Consider the following 21,553-nt stretch of genomic DNA (forward strand, 5'->3'; position numbering starts at 1 on the left):
CATAATACCACCTAGCTCATGAGGTTATAGTGAAAATGGGGTGACATAATTTATGGACAGCACCTGGAGCATAGTAAGTCCTCAATAAATGGCAGCTGATATTATTGTTTTCGGCACTGTCCCTTTTTTCAGCATTTTCCTCACTTTCCTCCCAGATGCCAGTGTTCTCAGGCTGTCCTTTTGCTGACCAAACTCTTCAGCTGGACTTAAACAGTGCCCAGTCTTTCAGATCTTCTCTCTACTTTTCCTCAGTGCAACCATATCTGTCTTATTTCATGTCAGTTTAGAGCCCTCCCTGTTCTCTCCTGGGGTAAATCTGATTCAACCAGCAAGTCCTTTGTTTGCATGAATTTATGTGTCCACAAAAGATAACATTTATGTTTTAACCCAGGCCTTCAATGCCATAACCCAGTGGAATAAAAGCACCTCAGTTTTCCCACCTGACTGTAGCTCTTCCATTGTCTAAAAATAGCACTCTTTTCAGTCCTGGCTTTTCAAAGTGTGGTCTGTGGACCAGCAGCTTGGGCACGACCCTGGAATTGTCAGAGTCTCAGACTTTGCTCCAGACCTACTGCATCAGAATCATTTTAGCAATACTCCCAAGTGATTTGTATGTACTTTAAAGTTTGAGCAACACTACTAGAATAAGGAGCAGCTAGCCAAAATAACAAGCAAGTACTCCTTTACAGGAAGAAAGGTTTGTGCCCAAGCTCCTTACAAAAGGGCACACAGAGCAGCTACTTCACAGCGCTGGGGATGGGCTGCCATCTCTGCCACCAGGGGAATGTTGCATCTCATGGGGGCCCAGCTGCTAGCCTGCCATGCTGGATCTCTAGAGCTTCCAGTAGAGTCAGGCTTCTGTTACCGGAATCAGAGGGCTAATTGGCCCCACATGGTTCCAAATCCTGCCAGTCTTGAGGGGAGTGACAAGACTCCCCAAGGAGCCAACCAAATGTAAAGAAAAAGGAGCCAAAGGCAAAGAGGGCTGGAGAACTAAAAGTGGATGCCTGGAAATTTAGCTGTTACATTTCCATCTTCCTGCATGAGAGCACAAGTAGGGAGAGCATCAGCTTAGAATCATTCCATATTCTTCTCGGTTCATTTGTCCTTTAGCCACATCTGCCTAGCAACAGTTGTTAGCATGAGCTCGAGCTACCAGTCCCTCTTTGGACAGTGATGGAGGGATCAGTTTAGCCCACGGAGGAATCAGGGCATCTAGAGGGAGCCAGGTTGTCTCGTAGTTGGGTCAGGGAAAGAGCTGCTGGGAGAATGAGCGGACAGAGTACGTTGCGGGGCTGTCTCTTAGAGGCAAGGAGTTGGGGGTAGGGCTTCGGCTGTGTGAAGCGGGTGAAGTTTATATTTGGCTCCCCTTCTCTGCTCCTCCAGCCACCCCGAATAATGCTATCAATAACATCGCCACCTCTACATTTGTGTGATATGCTTAACCTTCCTAAGTGCTTCTGTAACCATGATCTCATTTCATTCTCCCAACAACACGGAGTGAACAGGCTCAGAGACAGGTTAATTATGATGTGGGCTGAGCATACAGGCTGGGCTAGGACGTAGAGTGCTGCTGACTGTAGGGTTGGGGCAGCTTGCAATGGAGACTCTGGATAGCCAGAGGGTCCAGGACCGTGAGTGGGAGCAGGTAGGGGGTGCTGCAATTGTGGGTCCTAGCATAGAGATGTGGCCCCAGCTGGGCCACCAATGTGCTTAGCCACTGTGGGTCTGTGCCTCTTCATCTCCTACCTAGAAGGCTGGGATGGAGGAGGAACAGTCACCTAGCGTATTTGGCAGGACAGAGGAGATAATGGATGTGAAAGCATCTTTTCTCAAATGAAGTAATGAGTGTAAAAATGAAAAGAACCACACGAATATAAAGTGTTGTTATCATTAGGCAGAAGAGAAAGGCTAGGCCTTTACCCAGGTCACTAAATAGAGAGGGCAAGCCTGGCACAAGGTGAGGGAATGCCTTTGGGGACTTTGGTAAGAAGGGGAGAGAATGAAGGCACTACATACTTTGGGGCAAATAACAGAAGCAAATAGCAGGCCTCAGAAACAAACCTCGTGGGGTGGCGGGGGGTGGGGGATAAGCATTGGCTGCTTCACAATTTTGTTCAGGGATGCCCTATTTGAAGGGACCAGAAGCCAAACATCTTTCAAAGTCAAATTGCCTGTTTCCCCCAGGAGGATAGTCATGTGACCCATGGACAGCTGAGCTCCTGTCATCCATCACTGCTTGCCTTCAGTGTCACTCCCAAGTCTCCAGGCACTTAGCAAATTTCAGAGGGACTGAGCTGCAGACACTGAAAAAGGCAAACCCCAGGAGGGAAGGAACAACTTCCATTTGAATTGTAAAATGGCCTTCTGGTCTGTTAATGGAGGTGTTTCTCCCCTGTCCCAAGATACCTGGGAGTGGTGTGAGGAAAGGGCTGCTTGCAGAATTGAAGGCAGTTAAGGGCAGTTAGTCCAGCTCAGTTAGGGACAACCCAGGGATGAATGTGCTCCAGCCACACCTGGAGATATGCCTGCACCTATGAACCACATAGCTGGGCCACCTGCAGGAAGATGGAATGCACCTATGGACAGAGTTTGGTTCTTGCCTCTCTCCCCAACTCTGCCCTTTCTTGGCCAGTGAGTACAATCCCCACTTCCTCCATGGAGTCTTCTCCAGCTTCTCTGCCCCATCTTCTGAACACCCAAGTTGGAACTTAGTTGTAGATCTCATCTACCAGTCTCAGTTAGCACTGTAATTGTCTTGTTCAGTATGCCCACTTGTCTTTTCTCCCCCAGCTAGACTGAAAGCTCTTTGAGGGCAGAGACCTGTCACTTCTCCTGTGTCCCCCAGAGTGCTGGACTGTCTGAGTAGGCACTTGATAAATACTTGTTGATTAATTAATATGAGTCAAAAGAGTAAAGCAAAGCACTTGTGTCACAAAACGCTGTTTGCTTATTGATTCCTCTGGCTCCAGGAGTGCCCATTTTCTTCAGAAGTGGTAGTACCTCAAGGCCCAGTGGAAACTGAGATGTCCTCTGCTTCAAAAAAGGAAAAAAGGGCAAAGGGGAGGCTGCAGTGGCAGGGATCAAGGGGGAGCACTGAGCGTAGGACAGTATCCCAAGTGCTTCTGCAGCACACCTGTGTCTGTCTTCCTTGCCGGAGTTCCTTCTCCCCACGCCACAGTCTGCAGAGCCTTCCCTGGCTGATGCCCATGTCGGAAATGAGCTGGTGCCATCCCAAGAAGTCCTTTTAGCGCCAACAAGTCCGGGTGGCAGGAAGCAAAGGGCTCATTTTCCAAATAGCCCTAGGGGTGAGGCAAGACGGCAGCTGCAGGAAGATGTTCTCTGGCTTCCTTCAAGGACGAGCTCCTGCCTGCCACCAGGAGCCAAAATGAAAGAGGCGCCAGCCTGTGGCCACCCTCAGAGGGTCCCTGTCCTAGGAGTGTGCCTGTCCAGGACACTAATCAGCCACATTCCAGCTTCGGAGTGACTTTCTATTGAAAAGTGACCATTTATCTTAGTGGTGTGAGAGGGAAGGAGCAAGTTTCTGAATTTGCCTTCCAGAGACTTGACCTCATCCTAGCATCCCCTTCCACCTCCCGAAGGGGTGACAGACAGACTCCAAGCCAGTGTGAGGTGTAGCCAGAGAGATCTCATATGATAGAGACAACTTCAGAGTTCTTTGCTGGACTATGAATTTCTCTTTTATACAATTATTCTAAATCTTTTCCCCTTCCCCTATAAATAGTCCTAAAGCTTCTCTCTATTACTGAAACTGTGTCCTGATAAATAACCTAAATGGTTTGAAGCATTTGCTACTGATGAATTTGATATTCTTAGCTAATAAAGAATTGCATTGCTCTCGGCTAGGCGCGGTGGCTCACGCCTGTAATCCCAGCACTTTGGGAGGCCGAGGCGGGTGGATCGCCTGAGGTCGGGAGTTCAAGACCAGCCTGGCCAACACGGTGAAACCATGTCACTACTAAAAATATAAAAATTAGCCAGGCAGGGCAGCACACGCCTGTAATCCCAGCTACTCTCCTGGAGCCTGAGGCAGGAGAATCGCTTGAACCTGGGAGGTGGAGGTTGCAGTGAGCCGAGATCGTGCCACTGCACTCCAGCTGGCGTAACAGAGGGAGACTCCATCTCAAAAAAAAAAAAAAAAAAAAAAAAAAGAATTGCATTGCTCTCAGAATGTCAAAACCTCCTACTTCTTTTACAAACCTTATACTAGTTTCATTAATTAGCTACTGGCCCTCTGTATCTTGTTCCAAAGGGCTCTGCCTGGAACCATAATTTTAGCAAATACACATACTGAGGCTAGAAAACTTAAACCCGTCTATCTAGAAGGCCTAAAATTCTGGGGCTGTAGTGGTGCCAGATGAGTGAGCTAAGGCTCTGGGCCACTTGGCCCTGGCCCTCTCTCCTCCATCTCCACCTGCCCTGCCCTTCTCCTTGACCATCCATTCCTCCTTTTACCTTCTTCCCTGGCCTTGGCACCAGTGCTATCACAGGCCTCAGTGTCTCTACACCCTTATCCTTCAGTGCTCTTTGTTTGAATACTACACTCAGACCCCTTCTTGCCTGCAGTATGCCTCCCCTGGCCCTTGATGGAGAACATTTATGAAGCTTTTGTGGAATTCCTAAGCTTTAGTTACTTAAGTTGTGGAAATCGGGAGAACAATGTGTAATCTCTCCCTGGAGTTAGGGCAGTAATTTCTCTTCTCCCAGTTCCTCTGGGCTTTCAGGCCTGCTGGCAGCCCCAGGATGCAGCTCCCCTTCTGGCCAACAGGAACTCTTTTCCAGGTGTCTCATTAACTGAAAGAAGTTGGCATTATGGACAATTTTGGTCCCAGACATTAGCACATTTATTTATATATGCTACTTAAATCATTTATTTTTGTATACAACTTAAGATGTATTCAAGTTTAAAATTGCATCAAGATGAGCCAGGCATGGTGGCTCACGCCTGTAATCCCAGCACTTTGGGAGGCTGAGGTGAGAGGATCACTTGAGGCCAGGAGTTCGAGACCAGCCTGGCCAACATGGCGAAACCCCACCTCTACTAAAAATACAAAAATTAGCCAGGCGTGGTGGCACATGCCTGTAGTCCCAGCTACTCGGGAGGCTGAGGCAGGAGAATCGCTTGACCCCGGGAGGTGGAGGTTGCAGTGAGCCAAGATCGTGTCACTGCACTCCAGCCTGGGTGACAGAGTGAGACTCTGTCTCAAAAAAAATAAAAATTAAAAAAAAAATTTAAAATATTGCATCAGGGCTTCATGAAGATGCTCCATCTTCTGGAACAACTTTACATTTCTTCCGCCACTTACTTGCCTGTCTTGTGGTCTCTTCCTGCAAGGCTTTGGTTTCCTTTACGGAGTTAATAGCTAAGTCAGTGGAGGATGACAGTTAACTTCTGCAGAATATTTGCATTGGGTTCCTTCTGGAGTTCCAATATCTGAGAGGAAGGGTCTGACTCTAATTTCAGGCTCATGACGTCAGTTTCTTCTATTGGCTGTAGCCCTGAAGACAGTAGCTTCTACTTTCTAGATTTCTCTTTCTCCAATCTGAAATATGAGGCAGTCATCATCTCTGTTGGCTCCAGAGGATGTAGGAAGCTAAGCTGTAAACTCCTGGGTGCCAGGGCCAGAACCCTAACTGGCATCTCTCCCTGCTGGTTCTGAGGCTTAGTTCCCTGTGCATCTTGTTTTGCTCCCACCTTCCCTTTTCCCCAGTCATGTGATGCAGGAAGAGAGCGCAAATGATATGGAATGTGAGCAGCTGCCAGCAGAGATACTGCGACAAGTGACCGTTCACCGAGACCCTATATATGGCTTTGGCTTCGTGGCTGGCAGTGAGAGGCCTGTGGTGGTTCGATCTGTGAGGCCAGGTAGGTGTCCCTCAGAGTGTTCCCCTAGCCCTGACTCCTGTCTCCCAACACCCACATATCTTCCCAAAAAGCAGAGCTTCCAAGCATTCTAACTGTCTTGCTGAAGAATTCATGAAGACTGGTTGAAGACTTGCCAACCAATAACTGTGTGAGGGAGCTGGCCTTTTAAGACTGATAGACACAACAATTGAGGCTGTTTGGGGCCCTAGAAAAAGGCTGCAGTTGATTGTTTAACAGTGTCTGGGTCTTAATAAAGCTTCCCTTTGCATAGAACATTCATAAAAGAACCATAATGTCTTGCAAAAAAAAAATGTACCTATTCTATTTAATTCAACAAGTATCTATAGATTGCCTACTCTAAGCCCAGCAATGTTGTCGGGAAGTACAAGACACAGTTCCTGTTCTCAAGAACCTAACCATCAGGCTGTGGAGACATGTATATACTCATGAAACAGGTCAGCCATTGAAGACCAGAATCAAGATACAGACCACAGGTGGGATAGGAGAGGAGAGGATAATGGAATCTCTGAATGCTTGAGTGGCAGTAACAAACATCTACCATTGATTAAGCATCTACAATGTGCTTTACATCATATTGTTTAATTCTCACAGCCACCCCTGCAAAGTAAATAAGTAATATCATTCCCATTTTGCAAACGAGGAAACTGAGGCATAATGAAAGAGAAGTGGCTTGTCCAGTGTCACTCAGCTATAAAGCAACAGAGCCAGGGTTTGCACCTGGGCCTGTTTGATGCCATGCAGGGGAAGTAGGGCCTGAAAGGGACCATGTGGGATGGAACAAGCAAAGCCCCACCTAAGCTATGAAGCCCTGCTATCATGAATGAAATGGAAAAAGACTGAAGTACTGTTTTGTTTCGAATCTGCTAGGCATTGACAAAAAAGACAGACGGAATGGAGCTTTATTCCTGACTTGCTGGGCCTGAGGCTTTAGATGTTTACAACAGTTTCTCGCTCAGTCAAGAGGAGCAGCCAGAGTACAAACTGGTCTTGCAGAAATTTGATGAATTTTGCAATCCTCCAAGGGAAAGAAAAAGATTTTTGTAAGCTCTCTCTTCAACTAGAGGGCACAGAGGAAAAAAAACACACACACACACAACAACAACAATTTAGTACAGGAGTCCGTGGCTGACCTAAGGCTCTGGAGTCAGCCATGCAGTTTGGCAAAAAGGTTTTGAATCTCTGATCAGAAATCAGAGGAAAGGGGGACCAGCTAACATTCAGTAATAGACCACCAGGAGCCCCTACTTTAACTTCAAATGAGACAGAATCTGCACAGCTGAAGGAAGCCCCCAGGCCTAGAGGGGTTCAGCTGCCAAAGGTATAACAATGAAGAAGGAGTTGGAGGGGTCAAGAGAAGAAAATCCCCAGGCACGAACCACAAAAAGCCATGGGGCTGGCATGCATAGCCCTATAAAAGCCCTATAAAAAGCTGATCCGTAGTGCTGCTTCTGGCCCAGGTGGCTCCTGAATGCACAGGACTTGTTTGGTTCTTTATTTGAGGCCGTAATAAAGACAAAAAAAGTGTCCTACAGAGGAGCAATTATGGTTGATCAAGCCAACAAACCATTTGTGAAAGCAGTAGTAGACTGATGTTACCGGTACCATCAAAGGGCCAAGGCCCATAAAGGAGGTTGAGTTCCATGAGGACCTCTTCTGTTAGACGGAAGAAAGGGAGGGGAGGGAAGGGAAGAAGAAGATAGATAGAGTGGCCTCCACCTAAGAGACTGACATTTTTGGCAGAAGTAGATAGAAGGAATGAAATGAGTTGAAGGAATTGTCCCTTGGATGGTATAATAACTACCATTTATCCAATTCTTAGCAATGTCAATCAGCTGTTTTAAGTGCTGTATATTTATCATCTCATTCATCCTCCCAACATTTCTATGATGCATATGTACTGTTATTTTCCCATTTTATAGATGAGGTAAGAGAGACTCAGAGAGATTAAATGTCTTGCCCAAGGTCACACAACCAGTGAATTGCAGATTTGGAGTTAGAGTCCAAGTCTGTCTGGCTGTAAAGAGTGTTCTGTTAGCCACCACACTTTGCTCCTGAAGCCAGTGCACTGTCAGGAGACTTGGCCTAGTGTGTTTAGGGCAATTGCTCCTCGAGCAATGAATCCTGCTGCCTGTGCTGGCACAGCCATCCTCAGCACATAGGCTCTACACTCCAGAGCCATTGAGCTGTGCTCAAGTGATGTATTTGTTGTGTATGTTCATGTTTTTGGAATTTGGGCAGCCCCCTTCTTTGGAGAGAGAGGGAGAAGTTGGGATCTGGCCCTTCAAAGTGGACACAAACTAGAGTCAAGGCTGGTTTGATACTGGGTAATGTCAGTGAACATTTCTTTCAAATTTGAGTCAGGCTGGTTCTGACTTCTCATTCTCTCCAAGTCTCTGAGAAGCTTTTCTCCAAGAAGATCTTTGCTAAACATCAGAAGCAGCATAGCCTTGTGGTATCCCTCTACCCTCACCCTTTGCCCCAACCAAGAAGGTACAGCCCTCAGATAGGTCTGCTTTCTTAACCTTGCAGTAGAAATGGGAAGGAGAGCCAGGCACAGTAGCTCACGTCTGTAATCCCAGCATTTTGGGAGGCTGAGGTGGGTGAATCACCTGAGGTCAAGAGTTCAAGACCACTCTGGGCAACATGATGATGTTCCATCTCTACTAAAAATACAAAAATTAGCTGGGCATGGTGGAGTGTACCTGTCATCCCAGCTACTCAGGAGGCTGAGGTGGGAGAATCTGTTGAACCTGGGAGGGGCAAGTTACAGTGAGCCGAGATCACGCCACTGCACTCCAGCCTGGGTGACAGAGTAAGACTCCATCTCAAAAAAATAAAAAAAGAAAAGAAAAGAAATGGGAGGGAGAAAAAACAAATATCCAACTGCCCAAAAGTATGTGCTTTGTTCCCCTCATTTATTGGACAGTGGCATTTCTCAGTGTAGAAAAAAAAATAACCCTTTAGGTCTTTTTCCTCTGTCTTCAGACAAGTGAATGCCTAAGTCCTTCCAGACTAGTAAGTATGAATAATATTCAAGTAAGAAGATCCTTCCTCGTCCTCCTTTCGCCTGACCACCTCCAGTAGTCTGGAAGTCATTCCTTGTACCTAAGCAAGTCCCGCCTGTGAAATGGAAGTCTGCGTTCCTCATTAAGAAGCAAGCCAGTAAAATGTTTATTGACCTTATCTGAGTTTGGTACCTTTTGCTACCAAACCATACCCAGCTAAAGTGTTTTCACCCCACTTATCTTTCTGGGGCTCCCAAAAGCCCACCTGGTTCTAGAGTACCTCCCTTGCCTTCAAAGGCAGACTTAGCATTCTGTGTTTGGAACAGCATCCTCTAACTAGCTCTGGAGGGCTTTGGAATGCTCGCTTCTGAAGTCCAGAGCATGTCTTTCTTGGCATGGAACTAAAGGAGGTCCACTCCATTCTCTGTCTTCATTCCTCTGCCCTCTATCTGCTTATAGGCAGCAGCAGCGGCAGCAACAGCAGCAGAGAGCTCGAATAGCACCCTCTACACCACCACAGCTCAGCCTGCACCATCTCCAGGCCTCAGCACCTGCTTCAGCTCCTACAGGCACAGGGGACTTGCCCAGACCTGGACTTTCCCAGCAGTAACCCTAAGCCCTCACACCTCTCTCCTCTCCTTTGCAGGAGGCCCCTCTGAGAACAAGCTCCTGGCTGGTGACCAGATTGTGGCTATTAATGAGGAAGACGTGAGTGAAGCCCCGAGGGAGAGACTCATAGAACTTATCAGGTAACAGGGGCCTTTTGGCAGGAACTGATCAGTATCCCCACCCCTGACTCACCAGTGACATGGGGCCACCACTATCCCCCCCTCGCTCTGAGAGCAGAATCCTTCCAGGCAGAGAAGCCCTATAGAGGGCTCCTGGCTAACCCAGAACTTCAGGGGCCAGCTATTCAGGGTCAGCAGGAGCCTTCATACACACTGGCTTAGCATCTCCAATGATGTGAACAGACGCAAAGAACTCCCTGCTGGAGTCTCACCCCTACCTCCTTCCACCCAAACAATCTCTTCACCCCAGCCCCTTTGTTTTTTTCCAGCGGGACAGACCAAGTGACAGATGAGAATCAAGCCATTAAAAGAACATCCTAGATATGCACAGTGCAAGCAAGATATTGACCAACTCCCCAACTCCAGAAAAAACTCAGAATCCCTGGCCAATGGGTTGAGGAAGAGAACCTCCCAATGTGGATACTGTCCATAGTGTTTGTGTCCCCTAAATGCCCTCCGCAGATGGGAGCAGATGACAAAAGGAACATTGTGGGATTACCACTGTTTGTACATGGAGAGTAATCACATTGTCTTTACCTATCCTTTACCCCTGTGCACATTACACACACACACACACACACACACACACACACACACCATACACACTCTCCTACCCCACATTCACACCACATACACACACCCTGGCATAGATTTGTTGAAAAGGAATTAGAGAATAAGAGGTAAAGGCTCCAAATTGCATGGGCTAACCTCAGTTTGGGGGAGCTTGGCTATCTCACTCCAAATGGAACCATGTACATGCTCGCTCTTTCTCTCACTCTCCTTTTCTCTCTCCCTCTCTCTCTCTCTCTCTCTCTCTCCTCCTCTCTCTCACCCCCTTGCTTAGTCTGACTTCATCTCTGCCACCATCTCCTTCAAGTCCTCCTGGTTCAGAGTGTTTTCATCCCACTCATCTTTCCAGGCTCCCAAAAGCCCACCTGGTCCCAGAGCTCTTCCCTTGCCTTCAAAGGCAGACATAGCATTCTGTGTATGGAACAGCACCCTCTAACTAGCTCTGGAGGGCTTTGGAATGTTCCCTCCTGAAGTCCAGAGCATGTCTTCCTTGGCATGCTCCTTCCAGCTCAATACCATGAAATGTGTCTGATCCCTAATGACCTTTTCTTTGACTCTTCTCCAAGTTCAGTTGTCTATTGCATTTCCCTACCCTCCACCCTCCACCCTCTGCTACCACACCAATATGAGGTGAGTTCTTTCTATCCTATTAGGGCATGTTGGGTTTTTTTCAGCCTGGTCCCTCAGAAGTCACTGCTTTGTTTTTAGTAGATTTCTTTGCCCTCTAGAACAAGGTATGCTGATTTCGTGAGGGGTTCCAGAGCTCCTTCAGGGTTAAAGCAGAGCACACTCTTGATAACCTTGGGAGCCAGTGGATTATTCATTCATTCATTCAGTCAGTCAGTCAATCAACCAGTATTTATTGTTGTCCTCGATGCACCAGGCACTGTTCCACACACCGAAGATACAGCAGTGAATAAGACAGACAAAGATCCCTGGCTCACTGGAGTTTACATTTTAGTGAAAGGAGACACATCATAAGCAGAAAAGATTATAAGTAGTTCTACAACATATTAGAAGCTGATAAATGTTATTAAGAATAGAAAGTAGATCTAGGTAAAGAGGATCAGGAGTGCTGGGCACAGGGGTGCAAAATGCAACTAAACAGTAGGGTCAATGTTGGCCTCATTGAAAAGGTGACATTTGAAGAAAGACTTGAAGGAGGAGAAGGTGTTGGACAGAGAACAGCCAGTGCAAAGGCCCTAAGGCCAGGAGTGTGTTTGGCACGATTGTGGAACAGGGGAGAAGCCAGTAGGACTGGAGTTGGTAAGGAAAGAGGAGAGTTGTAGAAAATAAGTCCAGATAATGGAGAACCTTTGAAGCCACCATAGGGACTGTGGCTTTGTTATAAATGAAATGGGGAGACATGGCAAGGGGCTGGAGGAGACGAGTCACATAATCCAACTTATGTTATGCCCCTTCCCTGTTCAAGATAAAGGATTTTCTTTAGTATTTTTCCTGGAGAATAACTCTTTACTTCTGGTAACTTCCCAAACCCTGGGGCTGATTAATCCCTGTAATTTGCCTCACCAAATGTGGGAGATGTTCAAAGTTCTTGAGCTGCGGGCCTTGGCATTTCTTGAATATCCAGAATCAAGGGCAGCTTGACTCTACTTCTTAAATGACTTTGTTCACATAAACATTTGAAAAGGGCCAATAAGGAGAGGGGAAGCTCCTTCAGGGCAAACTATTTCCATTTCTTTTAGTTCTTTTAAAAGATTATGTATTCCTGGGAGAGAATTTTCATACTTCACAGCCTGTTTGATCACTGGCATAATTCTTGCCAGAAGAGTTTCATATTCTTCATTCTTTTGAATATTTGCTATCTGGAGAGTTTTGGCTTCCATCTGTTGCTCCCTGGCTCTCTTTTTTGGTCCCTCAATTAAAACAAATCTGATGAGTATGAGTCATGGTGACCAAATGACCTCCTTTGGGTTTTTCCTTTGAATTTCTCTTCTCACTTAAATACCAAATTACCAATAATCATTGTACGTGGTTCCCAGGACTCTCTGATTTTGAGTTCCATAATGCAGGCTTTTAGTTTTCCTTGAGAATTTTGTAGTCTACAGATAAAATTGCTACTAAGGTTTGGAGATTTCTACAGAGAGTATGTGAGAAGGAATATGAAAAGAAGACCTAAAAAATGACAACCCCAGAGGTAATGATTATACCATCTTCGGATACCTGTGTGAATTAATATGGATGGTTTGTGTCAGCCTCCACAAATGATGGGAGGTGAAGTGTCCATGCAGACACTCAGATTGCCCTCTATCCTAATCCATATACCTGAATAAAGCCAGGGGAAGATTCTGGTGTTGCTTCTTGTACTAGATGAATACCTAGTGCATGATACACTACTCTCCTATTCCCTCTTTTCTCTGTAGGAGCGCTAAGGAATTCATCGTTCTTACAGTTCTGCACACTCATCAGGTGAGTGAGCCTCTTTGCCATCTGCCCTTCCTCCTGACTGAGAAGAGATGACATTTCCATATTGGAAAGCAACAGTGATGGGGTTGGGGGTTCAGAGACTACAACCAACATATGAGCCAAGGATTTAGGAGTGAACTTAAAGAATACCTTCTGAACAGCATGTCTCTGCTCATGTCCAAAGCTGAGGACTTTGAAGGGCTGTGCTGTGCTGTGTTCTGTCCTGTGCCTTCTTCTTTACCCACTTAAGCTGCCCACTGCCTCAATTCCAAATACAGTTTCCACTTCTTTTTGGCTGTACTCCATTAAAATGTATCTGTCCAATGTGAACTCTCATAAAGTCCTGGACGATGATAGGTGCCAATCTTATTCATTCATATAAGTTACCTACAATGTATGAGACACAGCACCATATGTGAGAGAATTTAATATAAATTTGCTGGGGGGTACCCTTGGACAAACAGATTCATTTTTGTCCTGGTACAGTCACTTAACTGGCTGTGTGACCTTGAATGAGTCAGTTCCCCATTCTGGACCTGTTTCATCATCTGTACATTGAGAGATTTAAAGTATAACAGTGTTACCTAAACATGCCTGATCATAATCGTTGCCAGGACTACTTATTAAAAGTAAAAATTTCTAGCCCCCTCTCCTCAAGAGTTGGATTTAGAAAGTTCAGTGTCCATTATTAGTTGTACCCTTATAGCAATCTTAACTTAAATGCACAAACCCAGGTGCACAACTTCCATGTGCAAAATTCAGAGCCCTCACTCTACCTCCAGCCTACCTGTCCCCTTATTAATGTCCCCAACAACAGTCCTCTGCACCCCAGCATGGATGCCATACCCTCAATATATAGCCACAGGAGAGATCACATCTGTTGGGGGTGAGGGACATGAAATCAGGGAAGGCTTCAAGGAGGAGGCTGCACCTGAGCTGGACCTTGAGGGATGGGGCAAGATTTTCCATAGAGAGATGACACAGCGAGGGATGGAACACAGGTGCACAGCATGGGCTCACCAGGCAAGAGCAAGATTCAAATCAATCTTGGTTCAAACTAACTGCCTCTCCCCATGGCCCCCAGCTCCCAGACCTCTTCTGCATCAGTGTGAACTTCACTCACACACTCATACACTCACACACATATACAAACACACTGACACACACACACAATACACTCACACATTCATTCACAACCTCATGCATAATAGACTCACACATATCCTCACACGTACACTCACACACATACACTCACCCACTCATACCCATACATATACACACACTACTCACATATACACGCACTCATGTGCTCTCTCACATATGTACACACAATGGTCCCAGGCAGATAGGCCTTTCTCAGTTCCAGTTCTCTTGTCTCTGGGCAGGCAAGCCCCACCACTCCATTGTTGTTACCAATAGTCCCCTCCCCACCACTTTGCTGCATGTGTGCAGTTGCCTAGTGGGCAGTAGGCAGTCAGTCCCAACCTCCCAACCTCCTGTCTTGAAAATGACCACCAGTTCTCCCACTAAAACATGCTTGATGTGTGGTTAGAATTTACTACTGCGATCAGAGACCCAATGTGGGTTTACTTTGTTAGTCAGTTCTTCTCAAATCTCACCTTGCAGAAGCCTTCCTTGAGTACCCTTTCTAAAATAGCATCTACCTTCACTATCTTCTGATATGGCTTACTTTTTCATCAGAGCTGAAATATTATATTTTTTAACTTTTCTTTTGAAATAATTGTAGATCACAAGAAGTTGCAACGATAGTACAGAGATATACCATGTACTGTTACCCTGTTTCTCCCAGTGGTTATATCTTACATAACTATGTGCAATAGGCTGGGTGCAGTGGCTCACACCTGTAATCCCAGCACTTTGGGAGGCCGAGGCAGGTTGATCACTTGAGGCCAGGAGTTCGAGACCAGCCTGGCCAACATGGTGAAATCCTGTCCCTACACAAAATACAAAAAAAATTAGGCTGGGATGGTGGAACGCACCTGTAGTCCCAGCTACAAAGGAGGCTAAGGCACGAGAATCATTTGAACCTGGGAGGCAGAGGTTGCAGTGAGCTGAGATTGCACCACTGCACTCCAGCCTGGGTGACAGAGCGAGACTCCATCTCAAAAAAAAAAAAAAAAAAGGCAAAACAGAACAAAAACTATGTGCAATAGCAAAACCAGGAAATCAACAATGACACAACGTATGTATATGATTCAATATGAATTTATCACATGTGGGTTTATGTCTCCACCAACACAGTAAAGATACCCCATTTACCATAATATTGTTATTATACGTTGCATGCCTGTGTCAAAGTATCTTATGTGCCCTAGACATACATATATCTACTATGTACTCACAAAAATTTAAAACTTAAAAAAATCACTGGACAAGTCTGTCACCCAAAGGATTCCTCGTGTTGTCCTTTTATAACCACACTCACTTCACCGCCTACACCCAATCCCTGTCAACCACTTTACATTTCCCTAATTTTATTTCAAAAATATTATATAAATGGAAGCAAGGCACTGTGGCTCCTGTCTGGAATTTCAGCTACTTAGGAGGCTGAGATGGGAGGATCACTTGAGGTCAGGAATTTGAGATCAGCCTGAACAACATAGAATGAGACCTCGTCTCTAAAAATTTTCTTTTTAATTTAGCTAGGTGTGGTAGGGCACACCTGTAGTCCCAGCTACTTGAGAGGCTGAGGCAGGAGGATTGCTTGAGCCCAGGTGTTGGAGACTGCTTTGAGCTATGATAGCACCACTGTACTCCAGCCTGGGCAATAGAGCGAGGCCACTTCTCTAAAAAACAAGCAAAAATAATATATAAATATAATTATATAATATGTAACCTTTGGGGATTGACTTTCTTCACTTAGCAAAATGTCCTCTTAGCAAAATGTCCTCGAGATTCATCCAACTTGTTGCATGTATCAATATTTTGTTCCGTTTTATTGCTGAGTAGTACCCATGGTATTCCATGGTGTGGATGTACCAGTTTGTTTAATCATGTACCCGTTGAAGGGCATTGGGTTGTTTCCAGTTTTGAACTACTACAAATAAAGCTGCTATAATATTTGTGTACAGGATTTTTGTGGGCATAAGTTTTCATTTCTCTGAGATAAATGCCCAAGAGTACGATTGCTGGATCAAATAGTAAGTGTATATTTAGCCTATTAAAAAACTGCCAGACTGTTTTTCAAAGTGGCGGTGCCATTTTACATTCCCATGAGATATTATATTTACATGTTTATTGTCTCTGTCCCTCATTAGAATGTCAGCTCCATGAGGGTAGAGACTGTGTTTTGTTACTGCTGTATCCCCAGCACCTGGCACAGAGTAGGTGCTAATAAATATTGGTTGACGGAAGGAAGGAAACCCAGTTTCTAGCCAACAAAGCAACCTAAACAAAACTCAAGTGTCCAAACTTAGGTGCAGAATAAAGGGCGTAACACTCACCCCAATCTCTATCTCGACTTTCCCATCCCAGTGCCTCCAACATTTTCTTACCCCCTGTTCTGCTTACTCTGCAGGTCCCAACCCATGGCCCCTTTGCTGCGGCCAGGCTGATTTCCTTCTCCTTCTTAGGTACATTTCCTTCTTAGGTCTTACTGCCCCGTGGACTTTTGTCCTTTTGCTATTCCACATCTCTTCTAATACATGTCTGTTTCTTTTAAGACCTTGTTTGATACTCATGTTCTCCAAACAGCTTTGCCTGACTAATCTCAATGAGCATTTCCCTAATTTTTTCATTCACTCATCAAGCATTTATTAAATACCTACTATTCTGGACACTCTTCTAGGCTGGGAATATAGCAGTGCACAGGACAAACATAGTCCCTGCCCTCACAGAGCTTACATTCTAGTTCTCAGTCTTGTGCTCTCTAAATCCTTGGAGCATAGAAGTGGACGAGTACACACACACGGGGCTAATTGTCAAAACATTTAATGACCTGTACAGTAGGAGCCAATCCAGTCAAAATATAAGCCAGTAATAACACCGGAGCAGAATCTTGAAGGCCTCCTAGTTGTGCCAGATGTTAACCCTGTAGTTGATCTACGTTTGTAAGGAGGTCCAGGGGGAGAGGTCAGGTGGCATCCAGGAAGCATAGGGCAGTGCCTATTTACCAATCAGTGTGAAAGAATCTCTCTGTATTTTACAACTGGTATGGCCATCCCAGTGCATGCCAATTGAATGTCAGCCTTACCTACATGTGCAGTCGATCCTCATTATTTGCAGATTCCCTATTTGCAAATTTGCCTACTCCCAAAAATTTATTTATAACCCCCAAAATCAATAATCACGGCACTTTCCTGGTCATTTGCAGACATGTGCAGAGTGTGAAAATTTTGATTTACCCCATGCACACGTTCCCAGCCGAGGTCGGACAAGGTGATGCTCTGCCTTCTTGTGTCAGATCTCATACAGAGGTAATCAGAGGATGAAGACGATAGGGGGCAGTGCAGTGTAGTGCAAGAAAGAAACTGCAGTTCTGGGGCCAGTTGGACGGGGTTTGAATCTTGACTCTGGCACCTGTGAGTGGAGTGGCCTCAGGCAAGTCACTTAACACTTTTGAACTTCATTTTCTCTTTGTAAAATAAAGAACATAGAAGCTACTAGGATGAGTTGTTTTTACATTTTAACACCATAATTTATGTGAAATATTGGAGCAACAGTTCAGTATTCACTAATTCAGTGTTTATGGAAATGTCATAGAACGTAACCACCTTAACAAGTCTCCATTGACAGATCTTCTCTCTTTAGCTATACTGAAAGCTTCTTGAAGACCCCCAATATGTGTTTAATGTTATACCCCCTACATCACAGAAAATACTACTGTGTTCACAGCAGGCACTTGGCATCTCATGGGTGCAAGGAGACTGCTACCTATTACAGAACTCTTGTCATGTTAAAGTTTGATTACCACTACTTCCAGAAGACAACCTCCTAATAGGTCCAGGATGTGGCCTAGGAATCTATATTTGTTAAAAAAAAAAAAAAAAAAAAAAAAACCACTGGACCAGACAATCTGCAAGTCTCCTTCTATTAATAGCTCCTACATTATGTGGCTGATAATGGCCTAATACCTACTCCTACATACTGTGGCTGGTAATTTTATTTTATATATATAGAGTCTCACTCTATTATCCAGTCTGGAGTGCAGTGGTGCCATCTCAGCTCACTGCAACCTTTACCTCCTGGGTTCAAGTGACTCTCCTGCCTCAGCCCCCGAGGAGCTGGAATTACAGGCATGTGCCACTACACCGGCTAATTTTTGCATTTTTAGTAGAGACGATGTTTCGCCATGTTGGCCAGGCTGGTCTCGAATCCCTGACCTCAAGTAATCTGCCCGCCTTGGCCTCCCAAAGTACTGGGATTACAGGCGTGAGCCACCACACCTGGCCTGGTAATGGTTCTTGACCCTGTTTATCCATTATAACCATCTGAGAAGCTCTGAAAACTATTAATAGTCACTTCTGATTCATTCGAGCAGCAGAGACAGAAAAAAAAAAAGAAAACATGAAAATATTGATACTTGGGCTCTTGCCCTGACTCATTGAATTAGAAGCTCTGGAGATGAGGCCCTGGTATTGGTCTTTTGAAAAGGCTCACCAAATGATTCTGATATGGAGTCTCTCTCAGATGACATTTTCCTTGTAAGAGTGACTCATAGCATGGCAGACAATTGGGGAGAGGGGTCACAGGAGTTCTTTCCCAGGGCCCCTCAAACCATACTGCATAGATAGCCACTTAATAAGCTTCTGTGTACTTAAGGGTATTCCTTAATCTTTGAATTACCAACTAGTCCTCATGACTGACTGGATATTTATTAATCTTGAAATCTTTAGACCTTGGCACACAGTAGGCACTCAGTAAATATTTTTAAACGGATAAAGTACCGGATTATGACCAAGAATGACCCTGATAAAGCAAGTACAGACAATCTGTTTCAAATGAAACCCAGTTTTCTGGTTCTGAAAACAGCCTGTACTTAAAGAACTGGAATCCCTTCTGCTTGGAGCCACCTGCCCAGAAAAAGAAAGCCAAAATAATGGGAACCACCTCAGAGAAACTGGTTTTCTACAGAGCTTCCTGACGTATAGTGTTTGTCAGATGGTAGATACTCCAACCATATATGCTGAATTAATGAACTAATTCATTACTAATTTTAGCAATCAACTAATATATTTTATGCCATGTCTACTATGTGCTTGGTACTAGGGGGAGACATATTAACATAAAATGGCATCTCTGCTTATACAGCCTGGTTGGGGATGTGAGCAATGGCAGTGTGGATTAACAGGAGTACTATAGGAAATCCAAGAAGGGGAATTGAGGAGTTGGGGAAGGATTGAGGATAAAGGTAGAGTTTGAACTAAGCTGTAAAGTGATGGCATTTAGCTAGTCAAAGGGACACTCTAGACCCTGAAGGATGGGGACAGGGAGGAAACAGCGTGAGGTGGGTCCAGGAATGATAACAAGCCCAGTGTGTGCAGGGAGCTGTGGATAGAACTACCAAGTGCAGCAAAAGGTGATCTTGGAGAGAGGTGGTTAGAGAGTCAGGTGTAGTTTGTGGCGGGCTTTGGAAGTCAGGCAGAGGATATGTTCATGTCCAGGCAGTCTTGAGTGTGGGAAGGAAGGCCCCCTGGTTCCCCTAGTAGTGATCTGGTGAAACCAGGATGGTCCTCCATTGTCCTAGGCTCCCACAGTGGTTGCTATAGGAATTGGTTATAAGTAGGCTCAGGTGTCAAAGGCAGTGTAGCCAGAAGGGCAAATCAGTCAAAGCTTCAAGAAGCTGAGTTTCGTTTTTTTTCAGTTACCAAAGCGGGGCCCTATCTTGTTCTAAAATATTTGGCCCTATATCTGACTTTGGTCAAGATTTGAGTGATCACAACCCTGACATCTGTACTAATACAGACAACAAATTTAAAAAATGGTCAAAAAATAACCAGCTGCTGAATTCTGCACTGAGGGAAAGGCAGACTCTCTTCTATTCCTTATTCCACCAAGCTGCTGGCTTCATATTTGCTTCAAGCAGCTTGCAGTGGCCCCAGAGGTACTTAGCAATTCTAGTCCCATGTTTCAAGCCAAAATTCATTTTAGCCAGAAAGGGTGCCTGTTGCAAAGTGAGATTCCCAGCTGCTTGGAGAAAAAAATAGGGTCAGTGAAGAGCTCAAACATTCCAGCCTTAAGGTGCTCAATTAATCTATGCTTAATGGATTGGGATCTCTTCAACAATGTCAATTTCTGGGCCCCACTCTTCCAGAGATTCTAACTTTTAAAATCTGGTGTGAGCCTAGGCATCTGTGCTTTAACAAGCACTCCTCAGTGATTCTTATCATCAGGCACGTTTTAAAAACAGCTGGTTAGTGCATGGTTATGAATTAGTGCAGAGGTTGGCAAACTGTTTCTCTGAAGGGCCATATAATAAGTATTTTAGGCTTTGCAGGCCATATGTGGTAGCACAAAAGCAGCCATAGGCAATACATAAATGAAGATCACGGCTGTGTTCCAGTAAAGCTTTATTTACAAAAACAGGTGGTGAGCAAGATTTGGCCTATGTAGGCCTGTAATTTGCTGGCCCCTGAAGTGTATTATGCCTTCCTGCTACCGCATTCACATTTTGACCCGGGCCTTCCCAATTCTCAACATTGTAATTCAAAGGAGTGCCCCTAATATTACGAACTTCAAGCCCCAGAGCTGAGCTTTGAAGATGCTTTGGGACACGGAGGCCTCTGAGAGGCTCCTCATATCACACTGCAAAGCAGGCCTCACCTGTGTCTGAGCATAAGGCTAGATGTGACTCCATGACATCTAGCACAGACCAGCTGGCAATGAATGAGTCACCAGCATCAAGGCTGAAGACTGAGAATAGGATGGAATCTTAGAGACCAACAGGACAAGGGTCAATGAGGACTGAAGTATAAACAAGCTGAAAATAACTCTGAAACAGACACCTGGAAATGATTATAATCCCTGAAAATATTGGCAATTTCATTTCCTCCTTTGTGGTTTGTGCCTATAATTAACTGAATCTTTGGTTTTCAGTGGTACAAACAGAAACTCTCTAGGACAGGATCTAATCTTGCATCTTTGGTAGGGATAGCAAGGATGCCACCCTCTTCACTGTGGTGAATACATAAAAGGATACCAGTTGGGGTTCTTCATTTGTTTGAGTCCATTACATAACACCAAGGTAGAACCAGAACCAGTGGATGAAAGATCAGGAAAGGACTCCCAGCTTTAGCCTGCTGTGGGGGAACAACCACTAAGCAAAGGCTCAGGAAACCTGGGTTCTGGTTTCGGCTCTGCTACTCAATTATTTCAATACTTTGGGTAAAGTATATCCTCTTCCCAGGCTTCTGTTTCACATGTGAAAAATGAAGGTTGAGCTGCATGGCCCATTCAGGTCTCTAGAGATGCCTCGTTCTACACACTGTGCCATGCAGGCATCTGAGGGCAGATGATGGCAGAGAAGAGAGGTGACTGTCAGGTAGAAAGATTCCACTTGCCTCATGTTTGTGGCACCTTGGTGGAACTTTGGATGACTGTGGAGATGGAATCAAACACAGCTGCCTGAGCATAGCTACAGATCTTTCTATCTTGCCCCTTTCTCTTGCTTCTGCCTCAGCCTGCAGCCCCTGCTCAGGATTGGAGCACCAGGCTGTGCAACACACAAAGGCATTTATCAACTCCATGTATAATCAATACTGTAATCACTTTCTGCAGTGATCTCCAGCTCTGGATTTCATTGTGCTATATTGTCTGCTGCCAACAAATTGCCCCTTTGGCTCAGGATGAGAAGTCTAAGGTTCCTTTAGCTCAATGGTTCTTAATCTTGGCTGCAT

At 45.2% G+C, this 21,553-nt stretch overlaps 1 protein-coding gene and 1 long non-coding RNA gene across 6 annotated transcripts in view; one reads left to right on the top strand and one right to left on the bottom strand.

Moving 5' to 3' along the window:
- The window catches only part of FRMPD3 (FERM and PDZ domain containing 3), a 155,600-nt gene that overhangs the window by 71,198 nt on the left and 62,849 nt on the right, over positions 1 to 21,553 (top strand). For 2 of the 5 annotated variants that reach the window (NM_001388459.1, XM_017029902.3), the window contains 3 exons: positions 5,733 to 5,887; positions 9,560 to 9,662; positions 12,656 to 12,701. In NM_001388459.1, the coding sequence (NP_001375388.1) occupies positions 5,740 to 5,887; positions 9,560 to 9,662; positions 12,656 to 12,701 (297 nt within the window). In that variant the 5' untranslated portion in view covers positions 5,733 to 5,739. Of the gene's footprint in view, positions 1 to 1,600; positions 1,635 to 4,745; positions 4,804 to 5,732; positions 5,888 to 9,559; positions 9,663 to 12,655; positions 12,702 to 21,553 lie in introns of those variants that run through there. The other 3 variants (NM_001388462.1, XM_006724709.4, NM_032428.2) reach the window with 2 other exon arrangements.
- The window catches only part of FRMPD3-AS1 (FRMPD3 antisense RNA 1), a 32,839-nt gene that overhangs the window by 7,867 nt on the left and 3,419 nt on the right, over positions 1 to 21,553 (bottom strand). The window lies entirely within an intron of this gene.

This window comes from Homo sapiens, chromosome X (genome assembly GCF_000001405.40).
Source record: "Homo sapiens chromosome X, GRCh38.p14 Primary Assembly".
Classification (NCBI taxonomy): domain Eukaryota; kingdom Metazoa; phylum Chordata; class Mammalia; order Primates; family Hominidae; genus Homo; species Homo sapiens.